Raw genomic sequence first — 25636 nt, forward strand, 5'->3', positions numbered from 1 at the left:
CCTCTCTGCATCCATAATTTAAGTATGTATTTTATATGTGTATATTTGATATGTAGCGTAATTTTAATTTCTTTTTTTTGAAATGGAGTTTCGCTCTTGTTGCCCAGGCTGGAGTGCAATGGCCTGATCTTGACTCACAACAACCTCCGCCTCCCTGGTTCAAGCGATTCTCCTGCCTCAGCCTCCTGAGTAGCTGGGATTAAGGCATGTGCCACCACGCCCCGCTAAATTTTGTATTTTTAGTAGAGACGGGGTTTCTCCATGTTGGCCAGGCTGGTCTCGAACTCCCGACCTCAGGCAATCTGCCCACCTCGGCCTCCCAGAGTGCTAGGATTATGGGCATGAGCCACCGAGCCCGGCCCGGTGGCTTTTTTTCTTAAAGGGTTTTGGTAAGAGTTAGTGTACAATTTGTCAGGCACTTCCTACGTCCCAGATATTGTTCTAAACATTTTTACAGACATTAACTTCCTAAGTTCTCCTAACAATCCTAGGAGGAGGTACAGTTCTGAGCCCCATTTCATGGGTAAAAAAACAGCAGAGAGGGAAATTAACTTGCCTGAGGTCACACAGCTGTAATGTGATCAAGGCTGGCCTTTGAGACCAGGCGGCTGCTGACTCTTATCGATGGTGTTGTTCTTAACCACCACTCTATGCTGCTTCCCACCGTGCCCAAAGAGTGCCTGCAGGCTTCTCTGTCTCTTTCCTGAAAAGTTACTTACAGTCCCTTGACTGCACTGCTTTAAAGACGCAGCACGGAGTTCAGCAGTGAAATCTGGCAGTGCCGGTGCTGAAAGATGTGAGGATTTTGACAGATGCTGGAGATGCTGGCTCAATGTTCATGTCCCACCAGGGGCCAAATTGCCCATCTGTAAATAAGGTTTCTTGTCTTCAGATTCCGTGGTGATTATTTTTTTCCTCAGGGACCAGTCATCCTTTTAATCTTGTGGTAGAAAATTAAAATGAGTTTCACTGAAGTGTGGTTGGATTTTTAAAGTTTCTTTTAAATATTACTTTAGAGAAGTTAATTAAGTACCTGCCCTGTGGATCCAGCTTCCTGCATTTTCCTACTGTTTTCACTGTTTAGACGGGAGGCTTTTCTTAGGAGAATTAGATTACAAATTGAAGGGTGAATGAATACCTTATCGGCAGATCATGAACATTTGGGGTCCTGAATAGGTAGCAGGCTTGCGTAATAGGACCTGAATAAAGTTAGGCAAACATGACTATCTCTGATCTTAAAGGCATTGAACAGGCTGAGGTTAAAGTGTTTGTCGTAGTTTCTAAAAGTCAAGGGAGCGAGGAAGGGAGAGTTTACTTTCTCACTTTGCTTGCAGTGATTTTCTTTTTTTTTTTTTTTTGCTTACTATGTCTTGGGGTTTCTCCAGGTGGTAGAGGTTGCTCGGAGGTCTGACTCCCAGCTGGCTTGAAAGCAGTGATTGTTCATGTTTTGGGGGATCGTTGATCCCTTTGAGAGTCTGGTGAAGCCTGTGGGCATCCTCCCCAGAAAACACACACAGACATACACACAATGTTTTGTTCATGGGTCTTTAAGGGCCACACACCTAGGCTTTAGAGTATATGGCAATTCAACATCAGAACTTGTTTACTGCCCCTTCCCTTTTTCTTTTGTTTTTTGAGAAGGGGTCTCGCTTTGTTTCCCAGGCTGGTCTCAAACTCCTGGAGCTCAAGCAATCCCCCTGCTTTGGCCTCCCAAAGTGCTGGGATTATAGGCATGAGCCACCACGCCAGGCCGACCTCCCCTTCTGTGTGCCGTCCTCAGCCTGGGCCTCGTGGCTCTAAAATTAAGCTAATCGGTGAATTCAGCTATTGTTCTTAATGTCTTGTTTGTACCCCAGAATTATTTGCATTTGAAAGTCTTCAGAACTCCATACCCACTCCAGCTCTATCACATGTGATCACTTCAGGAGGTAACTATAAAGGGGACCCTGCTTTATTGGCCATTCTTAGCCAAATGGGCATTGATGTTGAAAGGGGTCCAGGTAGCTAGCCTGTCAAATCTTCACAGTGCTGTCCCCTCCCTGTCTCTCCCTACTGCCACACTGAATTCCCTCACCTCACACTGAGTTCACTCACCTTTACGTATTTCAGCACATCTTGTTCTTTACCTGGAATGCCCTTCCATTCTTCCTCCACTACAGGAATGCCTGCTCGTCTTTCAGTACCCAGATCAAATGGAAGCCTCGCTGAACTCCCCTGGCAAACTCTCTCTCTTCCTGTCTTTCCATGGCAATTTTTAAAGGTCTGTGTTACAGCATACATATCATGTTGTAATTATTTTTTATGTGTTTGGCAGACTCCACCGCCTGTAAACTAAGTGCTTGTCTTAATCGTCTTTGATCATGCAGCATGTTGTCAGGTGCTAGATATGTTTGCCATCCAGAGTTTATACAAGTGGGTTGTGGGGTTAGAACACAGGACGCAGATTCTAGCTTTGTGACTTGCCATCTCTTTGTGCCTCTGTTTCCTCAGGTGTAGGCTTGTTGGGGTGGGGGAGAATCTGAGTAAAGTGGAATAGTACCTAGTGCATGGTGAAATATTCAGCAACTAGGCCAGGTGCCATGGCTTATGCATGTGATCCCAGCAGTTTGGGAGACTGAGGTGGGAGGATCACTTGAAGCCAGAAGTTTGAGACCAGCCTTGGCAACAAAATGAGACCCCATCTTTTTTTTTTTTTTTTTTTTTTGAGATGGAGTCTTACTCTGTCACCAGGCTGGAATGCAGTGATGCGATCTTGGCTCTCTGCAACCTCCGCTTCCTGGTTTCAAGCAATTCTCCTGCCTCAGCCTCCCGAGTAGCTGGGACTACAGGTGCACACCACCACGCCCAGCTAATTTTTGTATTTTTAGTAGAGATGGGGTTTACCATGTTGGCCAGGATGGTCTTAATCTCTTGACCTCGTAATCCGCCTGCCTCGTCCTCCCAAAGTGCTGGGATTACAGGTGTGAGCCACTGCACCTGGCCATGGGACCCCATGTAGTCCCAGCTACTCAGGAGACAGAGGTGGGAGGATCGCTTGAGCCAAGGAGTTGGAGGCTGTGGTAAGTTGTGATCATGCCACTGCACTGCAGCCTGGGCAATAGATCAAGACGCTGTCTCAAAAAAAAAAATCAGCAGTGTTAACCATTGTGATATTTAATCATAACATTAAGCATATCATTGAGTGAATGAGAAACTCTTAAAAATAACCCAGCATAATTGGAGAGAACATTATATAGATGTACAGAAATTAAGTTAATTCTGCATTCTCCAAGTTTAATCTCAGCATAGATAAAATAAAGAAATCTAAATTTACAGGGCTCCCAGAGAGGTTCGGTAGGACACTCTATAATCTACTGTTCATTTCCTTATATTATAAAGTTAACTGGCATCTGTGTGAGGACCTTAAGCCATTTACAAGTACGTACTGTGGGAATATAAGGCTTTTTTTTTTTAAGGGTAAGAAAACTCATGTACACTATTTTAATGGTATGATTTAAATGTGTTCAAAAACCTTGTGTTTTTCAAATCCCTTTTCAAAGTAGCCCCAATAAGCTGGGGAGTATGTGTGTAGTGGCGTCGCCATTTGTAGCTCCACTAGTAACATGCAAAGCACATGGGAATCCATGAGAAACAATCATAGAAGCATCTGCTTCTGCTTCTAAGACACATCAAAGGTGGTGAGAAAAAAGATGTCATTGAAGGAGCTCTTTCCTTAGTGTATTTTATTTGTAGGCAGGATAGAAGTATCCTGCTAAAGTCATAAAATAGAATAGTATTTTAGAATTAGAAGGAGCTTGACTAGTCCAGCCCCTTCTTGCTTTACAGATGAGGAAACTGAGGTCCCAAAATGTGGAGTGATGTCACATTGTGCTGGGGATGTGGAGAGGGGTGTTTGTCATCACGTGGATGGCCACGTGGCTGGCTGGGGGGCCTCAGAGGGGACCTTCTATTCCCTCTTTATACAGGAGCCCCTGTCTGTCTTAAGCACATGGCTTGCTTCTTGAAAGCTTTCCTGGACTCCCCAGGCAGTATTTCCTTTGTGCATTTTAAACTAAATTTTGACTAAATTAAAAGCAATGAAATCCAGGCCTCCTGGAAGGGTATTTAGTTTTCCTTTTTAGCAGAACAGTTAAGCTAATGACAGTGTTAGAAGCCTCAACCACCCCATCCAGTGATTGATATACATGCCCCCAAATTTTTGTAGTGAAATATAAAAACAGTCTATAATCTGATTTTGTAATCAAGGTCTAGCCAATTACAGTACATCTCAAAAAGTCCTTAGCAATTGGGTTGTTAAGTCACCCAGCAAAATCCCTGTCATTGACTTCCTTGGAGCCATTTCCTTTCATGTTTTGGCTTCTTGGTGTCTACATAGTTTCTAAGATAGCAGCCCAATAAATTGTGCTATTATCTCCAGGTTTCCACATCTTACATATGGTATACATTTGCTGTTGTCTCCTTTTCAAAATGTAGTCCAATTTGTGACTGTTTAATTTTTAAAGTGAAAGAGGGAGAATGTTTTAGAAGAAGTTAAATAATTTAAAAATTAGATGCCCAAGCCCTAGTAACTTTGATTTGTGGAAAAATACTTTTGATTATAGCCATATAGTTACAGAATCTATACAGAAACTTGGCAAATTTGAAAATCTGAAATCTGGCCCGGCGCAGGGGCTCATGCCTGTAATCACAGCCCTTTGGGAAGCCGAGGCGGGCAGATTGCTTGAACCCAGGAGTTTGAGACCAGCCTGGGCAATATGGTGAAACCCCATCTCTACAAAAATACAGAAATTAGCTAGGCATGATGGCGCCCGCCTGTAGTCCCAGCTACTCGTGATCATGCCACTGCACTCCAGCCTGGGTTAGAGTGATACCCTGTCTTAAATGGATGGATGGATGGATGGATGGATAGATAAATAAATTAAAAATCTGAAGTCTTATATGTCCCCCTGTTGTCAATAGAGAAGAGAATCATACTACTTTATACCCATAGTATCTCTGGAGGAGTAACAAGTTGTACGTCTTGGTTCTATTCTGTAACATGGAACCAAGGTATTTGCAAGCTGACAGCGAAGAAGAGGCTTCATTGTGCATATTCCTACACTGTATTTTTTGGTACATTTTTCAGAGTTTGTAAAGAAAACATCTTGTACTGAGTTTTTAATAACTTTTCATCCATTTCCCAATGTACAGTACAAGTATATCAAAGAACAAAAATGCAGTAATCCAGCATTGTCAAAATCACTGCTATTTAAATGCTGTATGAAGAGAGTAGTGTTTAAGTTCCTAGTAGCTATCTCACTTATTTGTTGGCTGTGGTAGAGTAATCATTGTGGCAATCATTTTATACATGTTTGAGTTACACATATAGCTTTGAGGGACATCTACTAACACCATATTTAGTGGTTTCTCCTAAAGACTAAAGTTATAGCCTCATGTTCATTTACTTAGAAATGGATAAAAGTACTATTAATTTAAAAAATACCTATGTCTTATAGTTCATTTATTCCAAAAAGATATATCAAATGCCTACCATGTAGTAGGCACTATCCAAGTTGCTAAAATTTAAAGACGAATAAAACAAGGCCTTCTTATTTGGTGAGGTTGATGAAAAGTGAAAGCAGATGATTAAAATGCAGTAGCATAAGTAATTATTTGTGAGTGTATTTTTAATGTATGAAGCGGTTTTCAGATGTATTCTTTATTAGTCTCAATCACTTGCATTTCCTTGAATTGAATGGGAGAGGAGGAAGATGTGGGGTTGCAGTGGGTTCACTGGGAAGCATGCATTATTCTACATATACTGGGGAGCACATGGTATAACTGGCAGAGTGTATCCAGGGGGAGAAAAAATAGCATGTTGGTTCTTGATTTTATTGTGTGGCATAGGGTGTCACATAGTAAGGGGACAACTCAAATTTCATAGGAAAGATTGCCTTACTTGGAATGTAGAGTCAAGGCCTACACCCAATCCCCTGCATTTCTTTCTTTCTCCTTTCTTTCTTTTCTTTTTTTTTCTTTCTCTTTCTTTCTTTCTCTCTCTTTCTTTCTTCTTTTCTTTTTCTCTTTTCTTTCTTTTTCTCTTCTCTCTTCTCTTCTCTCCTCTCTTCTGTCCTGTCTTCTCTTCTCTTTCTTGAGACGGACTCTCTCATTCTGTCGCCCAGACTGGAGTACAGTGGTGTGATCTTGGCTCACTGCAACCTCTGTCTCCTAGGTTCAAGTAATTCTCCTGAACCTCTAGAGTAGCTGGGGCTACAGGCGTGCACCACCATGCCCAGCTAATTTTTGTATTTTTAGTGGAGACAAGGTTTCTCCGTGTTGGCTAGGCTGGTCTCGAACTCCAGACCTCAGGTGATCCGGCCTGCCTCGTCCTCCCAAAGTGTTGGGATTACAGGTGTGAGCCACCGCGCCCAGCCCTCTCTTTCAATAATAGTACTTATCAGTATATTTATTCCTGATTATACAAGTCTGCTATGTCAAGTAAGAGTTTAAAACATTATTTGGGCCAGGCATTGTGGCTCACACCTATAATCCCAGTACTTTGGGAGGCCGAGGTGGGAGGATTGCTTGAGCCCAAGAGTTGGAGACCAGTCTGGGCAACATAGGGAGACCCTGTCTTTACAAAAACATTAAAAAAAAAATGTTAGCCAGACATGATGGCATATATCTGAGGTCCCAGCTACTTGGGAAGCTGAGGTGGGAGGATCACTTGAGCCCGAGATCAAGGCTGCAGTGAGCCATGATCACGCCGCTGCACTCCAGCCTGGACAACAGAGTGAGACCCTGTCTCAAAAAAGAACCAAAAACAAATTTTATTTTGACATTTCAAAGACTTTTTCTTTTGAACCAACCAATCTCTTACTTATTAACAAAGTTTGAAGTGATCCAGTAGTTGTTTAAATAAACTGACTCTCCCGGCAGAAAGTAACTATTTTCTATCCCATTGTCTGATGAGATGCTCTGAGTCTTTGGTTAGATGGAAGACTGCAGACAAGTTAGCCCTGCATCTCATTTACATAATATTTTTTACTCTTAAGCAAGAAATCTTCACCAGGTCCTCTTGTGATCTGGTGCTGACACAGAACCATGACCATAGAGGTGCCCATGACTTCTTTCTGTGTCCCTTGAGGATGTTGGTGCCAAAGGCTACTTAAATCCTCCTTGGAAGGAAACGATTTCATCAGTCAGGAATTATTGTTTTAATTTGTGTCATTTACCTGTTTTGCCTTCCTATCGCAACTACCTCCATGAAAGTAGTTATATTGAAAAAAGATGCTTATATTAAAATCAGATAGGCTTTATTAATAAAGTGTAGTGTGTAGGCTTCTATGACTAATACATAGTTTAAAGTCAGGGTAATAGCTGGTGTAATGAAACCAAATAAAGTTTCTGGCTCATTCATAACTGTGCAGTAGTTTCGATTTATTCTTTGTTATTGTTGACCACCTTGTTCTTGTTAGAACAAGGCAGGGAATAAATAAATAAATAAAACGATTCCACATTATTTTCTGTTTGCCTAAATTGCAACATAAGGAAGCAACAAAAGAAAGATCCTTTTCGCTTAAACATTCTGTTGATCCAAGAAAAATCACACAGGGTCTGGAAGCAACTTTTATTTGGAGAACTAGACTTGAGTACGTTCAACTGAAAGCCAATGCAAGCTTCTGTTCCTCTAAAATGATGTCTTTTGCCTAAGAATAGACCCCTCTTTCAGTCTAAAAACCAGATAAACTGTCCTACAGTGATTCAAATAGCCAGCGGCCTCACTCCCCCCAAACTTGACTAACAACACAGCAATATAATTCTACCGTTTAAAACTTGGCTGACCCAAACGTGAACTTTCAAAGAAAATAAGAGTCATTACTAAAAGAGATTCCATTTCTTTCTGGGGCCTAAGTTAAGATGACTTTCCAGAACTTTGAAAAAACTTACTCTTTCAATGGCCACTTAATTGTGTAACAAAGTAAACATTCACAAGGGAGGCAAAATATAACATTCCCTATGTTTAGATTTTTCAAATATCTTTAAGGGGTGCATTTTCTTTGTTGGGTTGTCATATGTAGTTTGGAGTAATTTACCAGGTTCTACCCAAAAGTTGTATCATGATCAAGGATCGCTTGAACCCAGGAGTTTGAGACCAGCTTGGGCACCATGGCAAAACCCTGTCTCTACTAACATTACAAAAAATTAACCAGGTGTGGTGGTGAATGCCTGTGGTCTTAGCTACTCTGAAGGCTGAGGTGCAAGGATCTCTTGAGCCAGTGAGGCAGAGGTTGCAGTGAGCTGTATTCATGGCCATAGCACTTCAGCCTGGGTGGCAGAGTGAGATCTTGTCTTAAAGACAAAAAAAGAAAAAGAGGGTGAATTCTACCTACCTGGCAGGATCATTGGGATAATTGCATGAACATAGGATCTGATTCACCACCTGGTACATAGTAGGAATTCATGATATTGTAGCTGTTCTTATAATTATTAATTTGACCTGGAACTTCCATGTCCTGATTCTTAGATCTTGCATGATTATACACGTGTTATCTAATTGATGAATTTCAAATATGATCTATTTCAACAGTTAAATGGCTGAACAGTCATTAATTTCAGGTGGTCCTAAACCCAAATCAGTAAATTCTTTGAGGTGGATAAACCTACATTTCATTTGTAGTTTAAAAAGAAAAAGTGAAAAAAGTATTTAAAGTCCTGGGTCATGGAAGGCGGAGCTTGCAGTGAGCCAAGTTTACACCACTGCACTCCAGCCTGGGTAACAGAGCGAGACTCTGTCTCAAAAAAAATAAAAAATAAAAAATAAAATAAAAATAAAGTCCTGGGTCGATAAGTGACTTTATCCTTCTAAGGTATAAAATGAAGGAGCTACACTAGATAGTCTCTAAGCAACCTTCAAACTCTGAAATTCTGTGGTTGATATTAGGTCCAGTACTGGGGATCTGTGATTTTTTAATTGCTACAACTTCTAGGAAATGAGGAGTATCAAAGATTGTTATGGGAGAGTGGGGGTAGGGGAGTTACTATCATTGGTCTTTTGTGAACAAGACCAAGAACAAAAGAAATAAGAACAAAAAAGAACAGCAAGCCGGGCACAGTGGCTCACACCTTTAATCCCAGCACTTTGGGAGGCTGAGGCAGGTGGATCACTTGAGGTCAGAAGTTCGAGACCAGCCTGGCCAAAGTGGAGAAAACTCGTCTCCACTCAAAATACAAAAATTAGCTGGGCATGGTGGCAGGTGCCTGTAAACCCAGCTACCCAGGAGGCTGAGGCAGGACAGTCACTTGAACCGGGATGGCGGCCACTGCTGGGAGCGGAGATGGCACCACTGCACTCCAGCCTGGGAGACAGAGCGAGACTCTGCCTCGAAAAAAAAAAAAAAAGGCAACAAAAAGAAGTCAGTCCAGATTTGCAGAAATAACAGGAGTTATTCCCATATAACACACACACACACACACACACACATTTAGTTCTCAAGAATAGTTTTCTCTGGCAGCAAGGATTTTAGGGAATTCCGTTTAATCTGCATCTAAGGGTTCTCATGGGACAGGGAAAGGAAGACATCATTGTCCTCAGGAATTTATAATCTGTGATCAGCAGAAAGACATAAAATGGAAGTGTTCTAAGACATATTTCTGAAGGATGAACTTCCAAAGAAGACATCCATCCATCCATCCATCCATCCATCCATCCATCCATCCATCCGATCCAAATGCTTACAGGTTAAGCATCCCTTATCTGAAAATCTGAAATGCTCCAAAACCTGAAACTTTGAGCACTGACATGACGCCTCACATCTCACCCTATGTGTCAGTCAAACACAGTCAAAACTTTGCAGTCAAAACTTGTTTCATGAACACAATTACTTAAAATATTATATAAAATTACCTTTGGGCTACACATATGAGGTATATGTGTAACGTATGTGAATTTCATGTTTAGAGTTGGATCCCATCTGCAAGGTATCTCATTATGTATATGCAAATCTTCCAAAATCTGAAATTGAAAACACTTCTGGTCCCAGGCATTTAGATAAGGGATGCTCAACCTACACTACTTGTGGAGGTGCTAAGCTATAACAAATACTCTCTGGAGGCCTCTTGGGATATGTTGCCTGTTGATTTGGTTAATTCTGTTTCATAAATCACAGATTGTTGTAATCTCATGGTACCAGTATTTTATGATACATGACATAGATTCAAAGCCTTTTGCTACAATTTAAGATTCCATTCATATCAGTAATCCTTGTGGGTCAGAGGGTACTGTGTTGGTGATATACACAGACAACTAACTTGTGGAAGCATAGAGAAGAGAGACAGCAGCCAATGGGGATGTATGCACAAGCCTATGTGGGGGTGGATGGGTCAATGGAGTGATGAGTTAGGGAAGACTCTACATCAAGAATACTCTTGAAGAGTCTTCAAAGATAAATCAGTGACTGGAAGGAAAAGAAACAACCTTTGGTTAGATAATTATTATTTTTTAAGAGATAGATTCTTGGCTTTGTCATCCAGCCTAGAGTGCAGTGGTGTGATCATAGCTCACTGCAGCCTCCAAACTCCTGGCCTCAGGTGATCCTCCTGATTTGGTCTCCCAAAGTGCTGGGATTACAGTTGTGAGCCACTGTGCCTGGCCTGGTTAGATTATTTAAATTAGGACTATATTGATCTGAAATATAAAGAATTGGGGGAATGTGGGTAAGTACAGGGAGACAACAACAATTTTTCTGACTCTTCTTAGTCCTTATGTGGAATTCAGTTATTTCCAATAATTAGCTCCTTTTCCTTTTGAAGAAAACAATTGTCTTTTCTCAGAGTAATGACATCAGCCTCCTCCTTTAATCAGGTCTTTTTTTCACTTTCCCCCTTTTTTTCACTTTCCCCAACCTCTAAGCATTTCCTGGTACTAGGAGACTTTTATTGCTCAAGCTGGCCCATTTTACTATGGACAGTTCCAATGGTTGCACACTCCTGGGACATTCCTGTGACTTCATGCTTGGTATGATTTCTACCTTGTTGAATGACTACCATAATTAACCTACTTCTCTAAAAATATTTGAAAGCTGCTGTCTAATTTCTCTTGAGCCTTGCTTTTTTCTCCTTTAGGCTAACCATCTCTACCTCCCTCAACTACTTTCATAGGTCATAGTTTCCAGTTCCTTTACTAGCCTGATTGCTTTTCTCCAAATCTCCAACTTTACCCTGTCAGTCGTCAGTTGGAATCTTGTGCTCTGAGCATAGCTGTTCTATGCAAGAACAGGGGAGGACTATCACTTTCCTGTATCTAACACTAATACCACTTAGGACTGCAATAGTTTTCTCAGCACACGTCACTTTGTTTCCCTGCTTCTCCAAGTCTAGGGTATGCAGTGTGCCTGAGCTTGCTGGTGCCCTTGCATTCTTCCATGCAGTTGTGGTTTGCTTGTGTTTTTGTTTTAAAAAGAATTCGTTGTGTCAAATTTATAAAGGAGTTGGATTTTGTTCTAAAAGAGGTTCTTGCTTAAGGGCACGTAATAAATATTTCCTGACTGTAACTGAATAAATATTGAACCTTTACGTGTTTACACTCCCTTGTCGTGATATATGTAGCTTTTTTTTTTTTTTTGAGAGGGAGTCTTGCTCTGTCGCCCAGGCTGGAGTGCAGTGGCGCAATCTCGGCTCACTGCAAGCTCTGCCTCCTGGGTTCACGCCATTCTTCTGCCTCAGCCTCCCGAGTAGCTGGGACTATAGGCGCCCGCCACCATGCCCGCTAATTTTTTGTATTTTTAGTAGAGATGGGGTTTCACCGTGTTAGCCAGGATGGTCTTGATCTCCTGACCTCATGATCCGCCTGCCTCGGCCTCCCAAAGTGCTGGGATTACAGGCGTGAGCCACCGCGCCCAGCCGATATATGTAGCATTTTGACCTAGATTTGTTGGGATTATAAGTCAAAATGTTAAAATTGATCTTATCAGAGCCTGCCACTTGGAAAAATAACTTTACTTCAGAAAAATTTTGTATTGAACTCTTTGAAGGCTTTTTTAAAAACGATGTTATTGGCTGGGCGTGGTGGCTCATGCCTGTAATCCCAGCACTTTGGGAGGCTGAGGCAACAGGATCATTTGAGGTTAGGAGTTCCAGACCAGCCTGGCCAGTATGGTAAAACTCCATCTCTACTAAAAATGCAAAAATTAGGCTGGGCTTGGTGGCTCATGCCTGTAATCCCAGCACTTCGGGAGGCCGAGGCAGGTGGATCACCTGAGGTCAGGAGTTTAAAACCAGCCTGGCCAACATGGCAAAACCCTGTCGCTACTAAAAATAAAAAAATTAGCCGGGCATGATATTGCTTGCCTGTAATCCCAGCTACTTTGGAGGCTGAAGCAGGAGAATCACTTGAACTCGGGAGATGGAGGTTGCAGTGAGCCCAGATCACGCCACTGCACTCCAGCCTGGGTGACAGAGCGAGACTCCATCTCAAAAAAAAAAAAAAAAAGGTAGCCGAGCGTGGTGGGCACATGCCTGTAATCCCAGCTACTCAGGAGACTGAGACAGGAGAATCACTTGAACCTGGGAGGTGGAGGTTGCAATGGACCAAGATTGTGCTACTGCACTCCAGCCTGGGTGACAGAGTGAGACTCCGTCTCAAAAAAAGAAAAAAAAAAAGTTGTTATTTTTACTTAGGAAATGATTTATCTATTTTGCAAGTTCATCTTAGAGCACAATTATAGCTATTTATTACTTATTATTCATTCCTATCTTCCCCTTTCCTCTGATAAATAACCTGGTAGTTTTTGGTAAAATAAGCTAATCAGCAGGGTTCTCTAAATAATACAGTCTCATGCCTGTAATCCCAACACTTTGGGAGGCCAGGACATGAGGATCACCTATGTAGCCAGGAGTTTGAGACCAGCCCGAGCAACAGAGTGAGCCAATTGCTTGTGTTGGCCTTTTACTTTCCATGTTTTAGGTTAGTCATTACTTTTATCAGGTACAGAGTATAACCAAGTGGATTTTTCCCTTCTGTCCTCCCTGTACAATGAAGGAGACTGACCGTAAGTGGAACCAGGAAGTGTTGACGTGGTCATTACTGCAAGGAAGGAGGAAAAATAGCAGCCAAAAATGCCATTTACGTGAAACTTGTGACTTGATTGAGGAAACATTTGCTCAAGCAAAAGCTTAACTGACTACCTCTAAACTGAGGAATGTAAGAATTACCATATTTACTTCTGCACTAGAATTAAATTCTTTGTGTGATCACTGTCTTTAGCTCTTATTCTAACACACTGGGGCATAATGAGAGAGGCATTTGAATGCAGATATTATATTATTCTACCTTAATAAATGTTTTTCTTTGTCTTTGCAATAATGATATTATTAGATAGGCTTGATGTCCCATGATTTTTGTCATCAAGTTCGCATCGTATCTATATAGAGAGATAGGAAGATGCGATCTTACTTTTTTTTTATTTATTTTTTTTGAAATAGCCTTGCTCTGCCAGCCCCGGCTGGAGTGCAGTGGTGCAATCTCAGCTCACTGTAGCCTCCACCTCCCAGGTTCAAGTTACTCTCATGCCTCAGCCTCCTTAGTAGCTGGGCCTACAGGCGCATGCCACCACACCCGGCTAATTTTTGTATTTTTAGAAATAGAGATGGGGTTTCACCATGCTGTCCAGGCTAGTCTCAAACTCCTGACCTCATGTGATCCACCTGCTTTGGCCTCCCAAAGTACTGAAATTACAAGAAGATGTGACTTATTTTAAATGTTTGTTTGCTGAGGGGGAATATCTGAGTTTACCTTTAAGCGTCAAAAATACTCTGATACTGCAGTACTAGTTGTTATTTTGTTCTTATTTGAGACTAAATTAACAGCTGTAGTCAGTTACTATGCTCAGGAAATAATGTTTGGAGATAAACTTTGTGTGTGCTCTCCGTACATTTCATAGTATCATTTAAAAGCAAACCTCTTTAATCAAAGTCAAAAGGAAAGGATGTGTTTTCTTTCTTCCATGTTTCTTGGCAGATCTTACAGGTGAGTGGGAAGTCATGAATGGGCAATTTCCAAGAAGTACAAAAGTAATTTTGTTCATAAAGCAAAATATTTTCCTTTGATTCATGATTTACAAGGAAACCCATAGCTTAGCACCTACGAGAAACTTTGAATAGGCTGACTTTGCAGTGAGGGTCTCAAAGAAGGAATGCGGTGAGCAAATCTTTTGACATTGTGATGATACATTCTTCTAAAGGTTAGGAGGAAAAACTTCTTTCTTAGAGTTTGGCTCCCCCACACCCCCTCTTGCTTCCCTCTTGCTAATTGCCCGTTTTTTGACTTTTTTTTTTCCTTTTGTTTTGTTTTTGTTTTGAGAAAGGGTCTCCCTCTGTCACCCAGGCTGGAATGCAGTGGCACCATCACTGCTCGCTGCAGCCTTGACCTGGCTCAGGCAGTCCTCCTACCTCAGCTTCCTGAGTAGGTATGAATATAGACATGTACCACTTTGCTCAGCTAATTTTTGTATTTTTTGTAGAGACGGGGTTTCACCATGTTGCCCAGGCTGTGCTTATTTTTTATAATTAAAAAAAAATTAAAGCCAGGTGCAGTGGCTTACGCCTGTAATCCCAGCACTTTGGGAGGCTGAGGCGGGATTACTTGAGGCCAGGAGTTCAAGACCAGCCTGAGCAACATAGTGAGACCTCGTCTCTACAATCAATCAGTCAGTCAGTCAATCAATCAGTCATTCGATCAATCAACTGCAGTAAAGTACACAAAACAAAAGTTTACCATCCTAACCATTTGTTTATTTTATTTTTTGGAGACGGGGTCTCATTCTATTACTAAGGCGGGTGTCAAACTTGTGGCCTCAAGCAATCCTCCTTCCCAATGTGCTAGGATTACGGGTGTGAGCCACTGTGCTGAGCCCTAGCCTTTTTTAAGTGTACAGTTCAGTAGTGTTGAGTATATTCACATTGTTGCTCCACAACTTTTACATCTTGCAAAACAGAAACTCTATACCCATTAAACAACAGCTCGCTGTCCCCACATCCACCCCACCTCTAACCCCTTGGCAACCAGCATTCTTACTCCCTTTTTCTATGGATTTGACTAGTTAGATACATCATGTAAGTAGAATCATTCAGTATTTGTCTGTTACTGGCTTTAAGTCAGCCTAATGTACTCAAAATTCATCCATGTCGTAGCGTGTGCCAGAATTTCCTTCCTTTTTAAGGCTTCCATCGTATTTTTCCATCCTTCTGTCAAATGGATGTTTGGGTTGCTTCCACCACCTGGCTATTGTGAATAATGCTGCAATGAGCACAGGTGTGCAAACGTCTTTTTGAGATACTGCTTTTGTTCTCACTGGGTCTACTACTACTGGGTAATTGTTTTTGATTTTTTGAGGTTCTCCATAGCAGCTTGCATTCCCAACAACAGTGCATAAAGGTTCCAATTTTTCCCACATCTTTGAGAACACTTATTTTTTTAACTTTTTTTTTTTTTTTAAGAGATAGGTTTTCACTATCTCACCCAGGGTGGGGTGCAGTGCCATGATCATAGCTCACTGCAGCCTCAAACTCTTGGGCTCAAGGGATCCTCCTGCTTCAGCCTCCCAAAGTAGCTGACTGGCTAGGACCACATCACCACCACAGTCCCCCGCCCCGCCCCCCTCCAGCTAGTTTGTTTTTTTGTTTGGCTTTTAATTTTTTTGTAGAGACAGTGTCTTGCTATGATGCCCAGGCTGGTCAAGCAATCTTCCCGCCTCAGCCTTTCACAGTGCTGGAACTACAGGAGTGAGCTACCCTGCCTGGACTATTTTGAGTTTTGATAGTAGCCGTAACTGTCCATTTTTAATATTAACCGTAATGATGAAATAACTTTGAGCACCTGGGGTTGGACAAATGTGAGATTTGTGTGCGATCTGCAAAGGTAGAGTTAAAATTTTTTTCTTTCACTTGCTCCTAAACACTGTTTTGGGGTTTTTAAACTTACAGCGGGTCTGGTGCAGTGTATCATTGTTTCTTCTTGATTTTCAGCACAGTCTGTGTGGGACTGTGTAGGTAGAAAAAGCAGTGGAACATCATGGTAGCTAAAATTGCAGATCTCAAACTTGGCAGAACTATTAGAAAAAAGTAAAGTTCAGTAGAACAGATTGTGAGGAAAGCATTATTCATGTCACAAGAGTTTACAAATAACAGGTGTACAATGCACTGGGATGTTTCTTGCCCATTAATGGAAATGCTCTGGAGACTGTACAGTCAAGAAGATGGATAAGGTGGTAGATCTCTTCCGCTCTCTCCCGTGATTGATTTTTTTTTTCCCTCATACTGCCTAACTTCCTCTGTTACAGACGCTGGGTAGTATCAACATATGTTTCCTTATCGTTCGATCTGAAAAATAAACCCTCCAAAAAATTAAAAAGGGGTAAAGGAATGTTCTGATTTATCTGCCATCAATATTTTTTATTCGTGGATTCTCTTAATACCATATCAGAAATAACTTTATTTTTCTTTTTTTGAGACGGAGTCTCGCTGGAGTTCAGTGGCACAGTCTCGGCTCACTGCAATCTCCGCCTCCTGGATTCAAGCGATTCTCCTGCCTCAGCCTCCCGAGTAGCTGGGATTACAGGCGTGTGCCACCAGGTCCAGCTAATTTTTTTATTTTTAGTAGAGACGGGGTTTCACCATGTTAGCCAGGATGGTCTCGATCTCCTGACCTCGTGATCCGCCCGCCTCAGCCTCCCCAAGTGCTGGGATTACAGGTATGAGCCACCGCGCCCGGCCTATTTTTTATTTTGTTGTTTCTTTTTGTATAGTCTTGCTATGTTGTCCAGGCTGGTCTCGAACTCCTGGGCTCAAGCGTGGGAAATGTCTGACCTAAGAGCGCGTGGCTACTGAGTAACAATTCTAAACAGTATTTCCTGGGCCTTTACTGTGCTAGATGTTCCCTCTGGTGATACAGGCAAACTTAAGCCAAAATATGAAATAAAACATTTAGGCTTCTTTACACTCCATTTTCTCCTTCCCTGCCTCACCAAGTCTCAGTCGCTTTTCACCTTGGCCCTTCGTTTTGTTGCACTCTAGGATCCTGGAGCCTTGCAGGTTTTTCTCAGCTCATTCCCACTCCTTTCACCCTCACCGTGGCAACTCCAGAATGTGGGTTTCTGGCGCTTTATCTTCTGTTTCTGTAAACCTTCGCAGCCAGTCGCTGCCTTTTCCATTTTAATTGCATTCTCCCACCCCCGCAGTCTTCCTGGAATGCTTCCTGTTTTGTTCACGGTGGGGCCAGTCCTCCAGGGATCCGCATCTCTTCGTTTGCCTTCGTCTGGCTGAGCCGGGCTGGTGCGCTGAGCTCTAGGTGCAGGCGGAAGCTGGGTCAGGTGCGCGGCCGCACTTCTGGTTGCGCGGCCCACACTGGCCGCCATTGTGGTGGAAGTCGGAGCGAGTCTCCTGGGCCCGAACCGGCTGTTGGAAGTGCGAGGGCACCGAGAGCCACGGTACCTGTGAGGGATCTCTTTAACTTCCTCAGATGGGATGGGGGAAAGATCAGAGGGTGACACTTCGGGTGACCGATGCCTGAACTGGGGCTTCCGGGGGAAGGCTATAGAAAGACTTGGCGATAAGCTCTCCGACCGTGACTCCTACCATTACTTTTATTTACTTATCATAGCTTTTTAAAAAACTTTGAAATTAATAATAATTCCCCTGAAATATCCACCTGTGGCAGTGGAGCAATGAAAGCACGTGCTTAAGTATTCTCGTCCACACAGTTGGCAGTGGCTCCTCCGTACGGAAAGCAGTTGTGATAGAGTCACCTCAAGCCCTGCAGCTTCTCCACAACCCGAATCTGGAATATGTTGCGTGGATATTGCCTTTTTGTAAAATATTGGAATCCGTTGGCCCAAAGTCAATATACTCCTAAACTGTAATACTTAATATTTTTTCTCTGAAGACTATTTTAAATAGTTTTTTAAAATGGTGTCCTGCACTAATGTTTTTGGTAATTATGGCTAAAAAAAAATTAAAAACCTTTAATATGCATGATGTAAAAACAAAAGGTTGCGTAGTATAGTGGTTAAGAGCCCAGGCTTTGAACTGCTTGAGTTCAAATCAAGCTCTAACACCAGCTGTTTTGATTTTGGACAGGTTCCTTAACCCTTAGTTTCCTTAGCTGCAAAATAGCTCCTATCTTGTAGGGTTGTGGTAGGGGGAATTGGGTAGATACAGGTTTACAGTTGCTTATCTGAAATCCTTGGGGTCGGATGTGCTTAAAAATCTTTCAGGTTTTTTTTGTTTTGTTTTTGTTTTTAAGACAAAGTCTCGCTCTGTTGCCCAGGCTGGAGTGCAGTGGTGCAATCTCGGCTCACTGCAACCTCTGCCTCCCAGGTTCAAGTGATTTTCCTGCCTCAGCCTCCTGAGTAGCTGGGACTACAGGCGTGCACCACCACCACGTCCAGCGAATTTTTGTATTTTAGTAGAGACAGGATTTCACCGCGTTGGCCGGGATGGTCTCCATCTCTTGACCTTGTGATCTGCCCGCCTCGGCCTCCCAAAATGCTGGGATTACAGGTGTGAGCCACCGCGCCCAGCCTCAGATTTTGTATTGATTTATTAATTCACTGAGACAGAGTCTGTCTCTATTGCCCAGGCTGGAATGCAGTTAGCTCACTGCAATCTCCACCTCCCAGGTTCAAGCGATTCTCTTGCCTCGGCCTCCTGAGTAGCTGGGACTACAGGGGGGCACCACCATGCCCGGCTAATTTTTGTGTTTTTAGTAGAGCCGGGTTTCACCATATTGGCCAAGCTGGTATTGAACTCCTGGCCTCAAGTGATCCTCCGGCCTTGGCCTCCCAAATTGCTGGGATTACAGGTGTGAGCCACCACACCCTGCCTCTTTCAGATTGTAAAAGATAACATAGTACATAACCCATAGGTAACATAATACAGCAATGTCTAAGGTAGCACATAGTAACTAAGCACATTAATTTTTCTGCAGTGAAACATGAATAATACACTAAGCGGGATAAATTAAAGCTATAAATAGTTTTACATCACTTCAGATCAGGTTTTGCCACCCAGTGAGTTTGCACCGCCCTTCTCCCAGACTCAGCACTATAGGCTTTCAGAGCATTTAGATTTTGGAGTTGTGGATTAGAGGTTGTGGAGTCATATGTAAACCATTTGAACAGGGCCTGGCATTTAGTAAGCACCCTATAAATGTTAGTGCAAAACTGAATTCTTCCTATACTTTATGACTAGATTGTTATTATTTAAAAGAGTAGTTTAAATCATAGTGGTTTAAAGTGGATGTAGTGAAGGCCTACATAAGTATCTGTGTGTATTTTTCGCATATTATCTCATTTGGGTTTCAGGTCTGTTTTTCCCATGGTAAAAGAACAAGAAAGACAGAACAAAGAAGGCAGAGCAGAAAAGTTCCATGTTCCTCCTCACTCCATCTTGCCTAGCCAAAACAATTGAACAGTTTCAGATATCTATTTCAAAGATTTCAGATAAGTTCTAAAATGTTTTCTTTTGTTGTGACTTCAGCCTTGACTTGCCTCTACTCTTAAGCACACGGTAAGAACCGAAAGCCACCCTGTGCATCTTAAATCTTTTAATCTGCTTTGCTGCCAATGGATTATTTCTAGAACATGATGGTGTAGAAAATTCTTAAATTTTAGGCAACTTAAATGCTTCTAAGATTTTTTTTTTTCTTACCAAAGAGAGGTGGCTTCTGAGTTGAGGACTGTGGGGTTGATGTTTCATGTGAGTTCATGGCTATATTACATTTGGCCTGAAAGTCTAGTGATCTGGTATATTTTATCCTGTGATCCATTAATATCTATTGAAAATACACTGTAGCTCTTACAGTGAAAAATAATTAGACCTATTTCATCCTCTCTTTCTACTTAATACACATATTTACCCAGTCTAAGCCTGATCAAAAGGACAATGTGGGAATGCATGAAAGAATAATGTGTGCTTTTCAAAAGATAAGCCAGATACTGGAAGCAGAAACTCTGAAGGACAAAGTTAAAATCTAAAGGTAAATCTTGCTATCCTTGTGTCTGTAAGATACATAGATTGACAAAAGTAACTATAATACAGAGCTATTTAGATAATTCAAAAGAATTACATCTTTAGATTATTTTATTGGCTTATATCTGAAGAACTATAAGTTCCATTTTTATGCATAAATTAGTAGCCTATTAGTTTCTTTTAAAAATTCTCTGTAGATGGAAAGCTTACATTGGAGTTTTCATCTTTTCTTTCTCCTTGCCATTTCTTCATCAGTTATCTTTAGTCTATTACATGTATACACACACATATGTAGATATACACACGGATATATATATATATATATATATATATGTATTTTCCTGAAACAAGGTGTTGCACTGTCGCCTAGGCTAGGGTGCAGTGGTGCAGTCACAGCTCACTGCAGCCTCGACCAACTGGGCTCCAGCGAGCCTATATCACCTTAGCCTCCTGAGTAGCGTGTAGTACAGACCACCACTCCCAGCTGATTTTTGTATTTTTTGTAGAGATGGGGTTTCACCATGTTGCCCCAGGCTGTTCTGGAACTCCTGGACTCAAGTGATCCACCCGCCTCAGCCTCCCAAAGTGCTGGGATTATAGGCATGAGCCTCTGTGCCCAGCCTGTAAATACATTTATGTGAAGACTTTGCTAAAGAAAGAGACAATGAAATCAGTGAAGACACCAATATGGTACATGAAAAACAACTTGGAGCATTAAATCAAAATTGCCAAAGATCACCTTTTTCAAGTGTAAGGCTTGTTTCTTTGTATACACTTATCTCTTTTGCAACTTCATGTTATCCTGATGTCTGGGATATTAACTTTAAAGATGATTTTATCGTTTTATTATGGTAGTTATTCCTTCGTTCACTTTCCCCTTTATTGTGGTTAATCTGCGAAGTAGATTTGGTCATGTAATACACTTTATTTTTAGCAGTCTCACAGTGTCGTAAATCTTGTATTTTATTGCCTTTAATGTAAGAATGAAGGCCAGCAATCAGGGTGAGGCTGTTCTGTTTCAAACTTGACACTCAAAAACTAACTTCTGTGTTTTCTATTTTAAGGCTTACTACAGGTAGACTACTTCAGCCATCAATTAAAATAAGCTTTTCTTAAAAATGAGATGATAATTAGTGACAGCATTAGAATCCCTAATAGTGCGTGTATGTGTGTGCATGCACGTGGATGCAGTATGATAGTGGCTGCAGCGACAGAAAACCAAAGTAATGTGGCTTAACCATAATAGGCATTTATTTCTCTCTCATGTAAAAGCCCGAAAAGTGGTCTATATTTATCAGACTTTTTTGAGACAGGGTTTTGCTCCATTGCCTAGGCTGGAGTGCAGTGGTGTGATCCTAGCTTTCTGTAGTCTCAACCTCCTGGGCTCAAGCGATCTACCCACCTCAGTCTCCCAAGTAGCTGGGACTACAGGCACATGCCACCACACATGGCTTGTGTGTGTGTGTGTGTGTGTGTGTGTGTGTGTGTGTGTGTGTGTGTGCGCGCGCGCGCGCGCGGTGGAGGGTAGTGGGGTAGAGATGGAACTTCAGTATTTTGCCCAAGGTGACTTTATATTTTGATTCTCTGCCATCTTCAACAGGTAGCTGTCATCTTATGATCTAAGGTGGGTGCTCTACTTCCCACAGTCATCTTCTAGGCAACAAGAAAGCAGGAAAAAAGCTCTTATTTTATTTTTGATTTTGTTGCATACCAAAGGAATGTTCTCTTTTCAAGGCACCACCTGGAAGTTGCAGGCATCACTTCTGTCCACACCATAGGCCAGAATTTACTAATATGGTTTGAGTATCCAAAATAATGCTCCAGAATCTGAAGCTTTTTGTCTACTGACATGATGCCCAAAGGGAATGCTCAATGGAAAGTGTAATTGCAAATATCCCCCAATATGGAAAAATTCGAAAACTGAACACTTCTGGGCCCAAGCATTTCAGTTAAAGGGTACTCAACCTGTACAGTATTAACTAGCAAGGGAATTTAGGAAATCATGTGCCCAACAGAAATTTATTACTACATAAAATAGAGAATATATTAGAGGAAGTTAGCGGTTAGAATAGTAAAGTGTGTAATAGTGCAATGTTTTGTGAATTTTGGATACTCATCATTATAAACATCTGACAAAAAGACTGAACTGCATTATAGAGCTGCTGGGTTCTATAAATCACCAGTCTTGAGCATCCCTGCAAAGTATTTCCTTCCAGCCTGTCACCCATGTAGAAAAAGATCTCCTAATTCTTAATTTAGGAAAGACTTTGTAAGGAGACATTATTATATTAAGAAGTGAAACATACGATAAAAAGAAAAATGAATTCCATAACAAAGGGGAGAAAGTAAACGTCTATTCAACTTTCATTGAAATAAATATTTTCAGAACTTTATTGTGTCTATACAAAATTGTATCTGCATCTTTTTTTTTAACTTAGCAATGAATCTTAGACTTTATATCAGTAATGGAGATCTAACTCATTTTAAAAATGATACGTAGTAATTTGGGGAATTTTAAAACAGTGTTAATACATAACTGTCACATATCTCTTTTGTGATTACATTTTTTTGCTAGATGATGGATTATAGATAGCTCTCTGATACAAACAGGAGATTTCTAAAAGCCTCTTAGTCCTCTTACCTCAGCAATCTATAGTCCATCCTTTCAGTGTTCCTAAATTTCCTCTGTGAGAATATATATGCTGTTAAAAGTTAAGGGGACTCTGACACGGAAAGCAAATAAACAAAAATTATTAGATGGTTTACAATTGTAGTGCCCACTGTTTAATTCAGAATGGAACACAGAAAAATAAATTAGGCTTGTTCTAAATGTTTGCCTAATTCTTTTAGAATATTAGAATTTAACTTATTAGCTGTATGTTGGGTAAGCATTGCAAGAGTTAACTTGTATTTGACATTTTTCACATGCCCTTAACATTAAGCATGTGTGAGGTCTTCCTGTGTGCATATTTGGATGTACAGCCTAACTGAGGTGGAAAACACCAAGATGTTTGCAGGGCAGATGCATTCCAAGTATGTGTTCTTATTGCTCTTCCTGCCATTGGCTTCAAGATGAGCTGTCCTGCCTGTTTTCAGTACTAGTCTTAAAACCAGGTCCTTTTCCATTCCCTCCCATCTTGACTAGGTTGCCTCTCAAATTCAAGTCAAGGCATGTTTTCTGTCAAGTATACACTTTCAAGATGAAAGCAGCAGTGCACGAAGCAGAGAAAAAAGCCTGCAGAAATGTGTAAAAACTAGAAAAAGTATACAGAGAGCAGTGGGTAGAAATGGGTATAATGGTTGACAGCTCTTGGACCCAGGACTCATGTCTTGTTCAAGATTCAAATCCTGGCTCTATCACTTTCTAGTTATGTTGAACCAAGTTATTTTGAACTTCAGTTTCCTTATCTATAAAGTGGCGACAGAAATAGAATGTAGTATCTGTTGGATTCAGGATTAAATAGTTCATGTAATAAAATGCTTGGCAGTATGTTTGGCAACTATTATACAACTCTATATACTCTTCATTTCTTTTCTATGTCCAGATTATTAAAATATTACGAGACCATACCCATGGGGGGGAACTTTGCTGTCTTTCGTTTAACTGCTGTCCTGGCTAGCTTTCTTACTCAGCCCCTGGGATTGAAGTCAGGCCTAGAAATTTGGGAGTTTGGCATGTTAAACTTTATAGCTGGGAGTACTGGAGAATGACAGGTAACTTCTGCAAGGGTAAACAGTGTTGAGAACCTTGCTAATTGCACATTGTCAGGCTTTTGAACAGTTCCCATTGTGGCACGTATTCCTTCAATGCTTTGTTGTGCCTGAAAATGAAAGAAAAGAAACAAAAAGGAAAACTATAATGTTTTTAAACTTGGATTTTGTTGTTGTTGTTTTTGTTTAAGTAGTAGGAAACTAACATGATCTTTTCTGACTTAGTCTTATGTTCAGATATCCTGAAGCAACTTGAATAATGTCCTGTTTCTTGCCCCCACCCAGCTCGATTGGATCCTTTTCCTCACATCTCCTCTTTTTTTTTTTTTTTTTTTTTGAGACAGAGTGAGACTCTTGCCCCGGCTGGAGTGCAATGGCACGATTTCAGCTCACTGCAACCTTCACCTCCTGGTTCAAGCAATTCCCCCTGCCTCAGCCTCCGGAGTAGCTGGGATTATAGGCACCCGCCACCATGCCCAGCTAATTTTTGTATTTTTCATAGATACAGGCTTTCGCCATGTTGGCCAGGCTTGTCTCAAACTCCTGACCTCAGGTCACCTGCCCACCTCAGCCTCCCAAAGTGCTGGGATTACAGGCATGAACCACCGTGCCCGGCCCACACCTCCTTTTTAAATGGAGACAGAAGCAAGCACTGTCACCTGTACCTCACACAAGGAGAAACTTGGCCTCAGGGTGATTCACTGGAGGTGCATTGCTGCTCCTATGAGGCTTGAGGCCAGGTTTTCTGCTTCTCTGATAGCCTCTTAGGCATTTTGCCTTTCACAGAGTACTTTTCCATTATTTTATAAAGACCTCCTTCAGGGCCAGATTCTACAGTTTTATAGTTAGAATTTGGTTTCAACAGAAAATCTTCAAAAATTACAATTTACTTTTAGTTACACTTCAAGTCAACTAGGATGTCCTGTTTAGAAGCAGGGCTCCAAGCCTTTTTAAAGAACAGTTTATCTTTCTTTTAAACAAATGAAGGTATTAAACGGCTCACAGATGGAAGGCAGGTTGCCGCATTAAAATAAGTTAGTGCATGGTTTCCTTTTCCCAAATAACTTTCCTCTTAAAGTGAGGGTATGGGAGAATGGATTAAAATTATAGATTGCTACATATAGACACTTTAAAATCAACGAGCATAGTAACTAGTTGGCATTTTAATATTCTTTTAAAAGTAAGTTGCTTAAAAACCCTGGAGGTAGACTATTTAATCATTTGCATGCTAGTTTCTAAGAATTCATAATTAAGCAATTCAGCATGAGATGGATTTATAGATGGACTATCTTAGATTTGGTGTTCTCTAGCAGGCAGACTTAGTTTCAGTCTGGTGGAAACACTGGATGGTTTCAGCCCAGTATCTGTTTGCTTTTACTCCCTAAACCCACAACTGGACTTTGAGGAGGAGGTGGGAAGGATGTCATGGGAGGTCACTTCAGGTAGAGTCAGTTCCTGTGATACTGACTGGCAGCTCCCAGGTCATGAGCAAATGGCAACCTTGGTAGTATGCCTCCACTGCTGTCCAGGCCTTCAGTTCCACTTCTTGTCTTGGAATTCATGACACTTGAAAGAGAAGAAGTCATCTCATAAAGTGCTGCATAGTATTTCCAGAGAGCTGCATGGCTGTGAAAACATAATTGGAGTTCTAAAAGCTGGCACAGTCTTTTATAACAACAGGTAAATGCAGTGACCAGTTTATTTGTGGCTTTTGGTTTCCCACTGCCTGAAAGCAAAAAAAAAAAAAAAAAAAAAAAGTGTGTTTTTGAAAATTAAAGGAAGGACTTTCATTTAAAAATAAAGAAGCTTCAGAATAAAATTACTTCTCCTTTGCCTTTTATGGTACTGACTGATGAAAGGCAGATATATATCTGGTAAAAATCCTACAATGTATATTAAAATGAGTAAAAAATATCAAAAA

The 25636-nt window shown here is 41.3% G+C and overlaps 1 protein-coding gene across 20 annotated transcripts in view, besides 6 other annotated features; it reads left to right on the plus strand.

Moving 5' to 3' along the window:
- RBPMS (RNA binding protein, mRNA processing factor) overlaps positions 1-25636 on the plus strand; it is a 187716-nt gene that overhangs the window by 40798 nt on the left and 121282 nt on the right. The gene's annotated exons all lie outside the window — the stretch shown is intronic.
- Positions 1251-1752: an enhancer, noted in NCBI's record as "H3K4me1 hESC enhancer chr8:30284105-30284606 (GRCh37/hg19 assembly coordinates)". NCBI's record gives its function as "activates a minimal SCP1, AML or CMV promoter by ChIP-STARR-seq in naive H9 embryonic stem cells {active_cell/tissue: H9 hESC(naive)}" and the evidence as "EXISTENCE:reporter gene assay evidence [ECO:0000049][PMID:30033119]".
- Positions 1753-2252: an enhancer, noted in NCBI's record as "H3K4me1 hESC enhancer chr8:30284607-30285106 (GRCh37/hg19 assembly coordinates)". NCBI's record gives its function as "activates a minimal SCP1, AML or CMV promoter by ChIP-STARR-seq in naive H9 embryonic stem cells {active_cell/tissue: H9 hESC(naive)}" and the evidence as "EXISTENCE:reporter gene assay evidence [ECO:0000049][PMID:30033119]".
- Positions 12357-12892: an enhancer, noted in NCBI's record as "H3K27ac-H3K4me1 hESC enhancer chr8:30295211-30295746 (GRCh37/hg19 assembly coordinates)". NCBI's record gives its function as "activates a minimal SCP1, AML or CMV promoter by ChIP-STARR-seq in primed H9 embryonic stem cells {active_cell/tissue: H9 hESC(primed)}" and the evidence as "EXISTENCE:reporter gene assay evidence [ECO:0000049][PMID:30033119]".
- Positions 20977-21505: an enhancer, noted in NCBI's record as "H3K4me1 hESC enhancer chr8:30303831-30304359 (GRCh37/hg19 assembly coordinates)". NCBI's record gives its function as "activates a minimal SCP1, AML or CMV promoter by ChIP-STARR-seq in primed H9 embryonic stem cells {active_cell/tissue: H9 hESC(primed)}" and the evidence as "EXISTENCE:reporter gene assay evidence [ECO:0000049][PMID:30033119]".
- Positions 21506-22033: an enhancer, noted in NCBI's record as "H3K4me1 hESC enhancer chr8:30304360-30304887 (GRCh37/hg19 assembly coordinates)". NCBI's record gives its function as "activates a minimal SCP1, AML or CMV promoter by ChIP-STARR-seq in primed H9 embryonic stem cells {active_cell/tissue: H9 hESC(primed)}" and the evidence as "EXISTENCE:reporter gene assay evidence [ECO:0000049][PMID:30033119]".
- Positions 24975-25269: a silencer, noted in NCBI's record as "tiled region #3907; K562 Repressive non-DNase unmatched - State 21:Repr". NCBI's record gives its function as "represses a minimal TATA promoter and a strong SV40 promoter by Sharpr-MPRA in K562 cells {active_cell/tissue: K562}" and the evidence as "EXISTENCE:reporter gene assay evidence [ECO:0000049][PMID:27701403]".

Source organism: Homo sapiens, chromosome 8, assembly GCF_000001405.40.
Source record: "Homo sapiens chromosome 8, GRCh38.p14 Primary Assembly".
NCBI classification, from domain to species: Eukaryota; Metazoa; Chordata; class Mammalia; order Primates; family Hominidae; genus Homo; species Homo sapiens.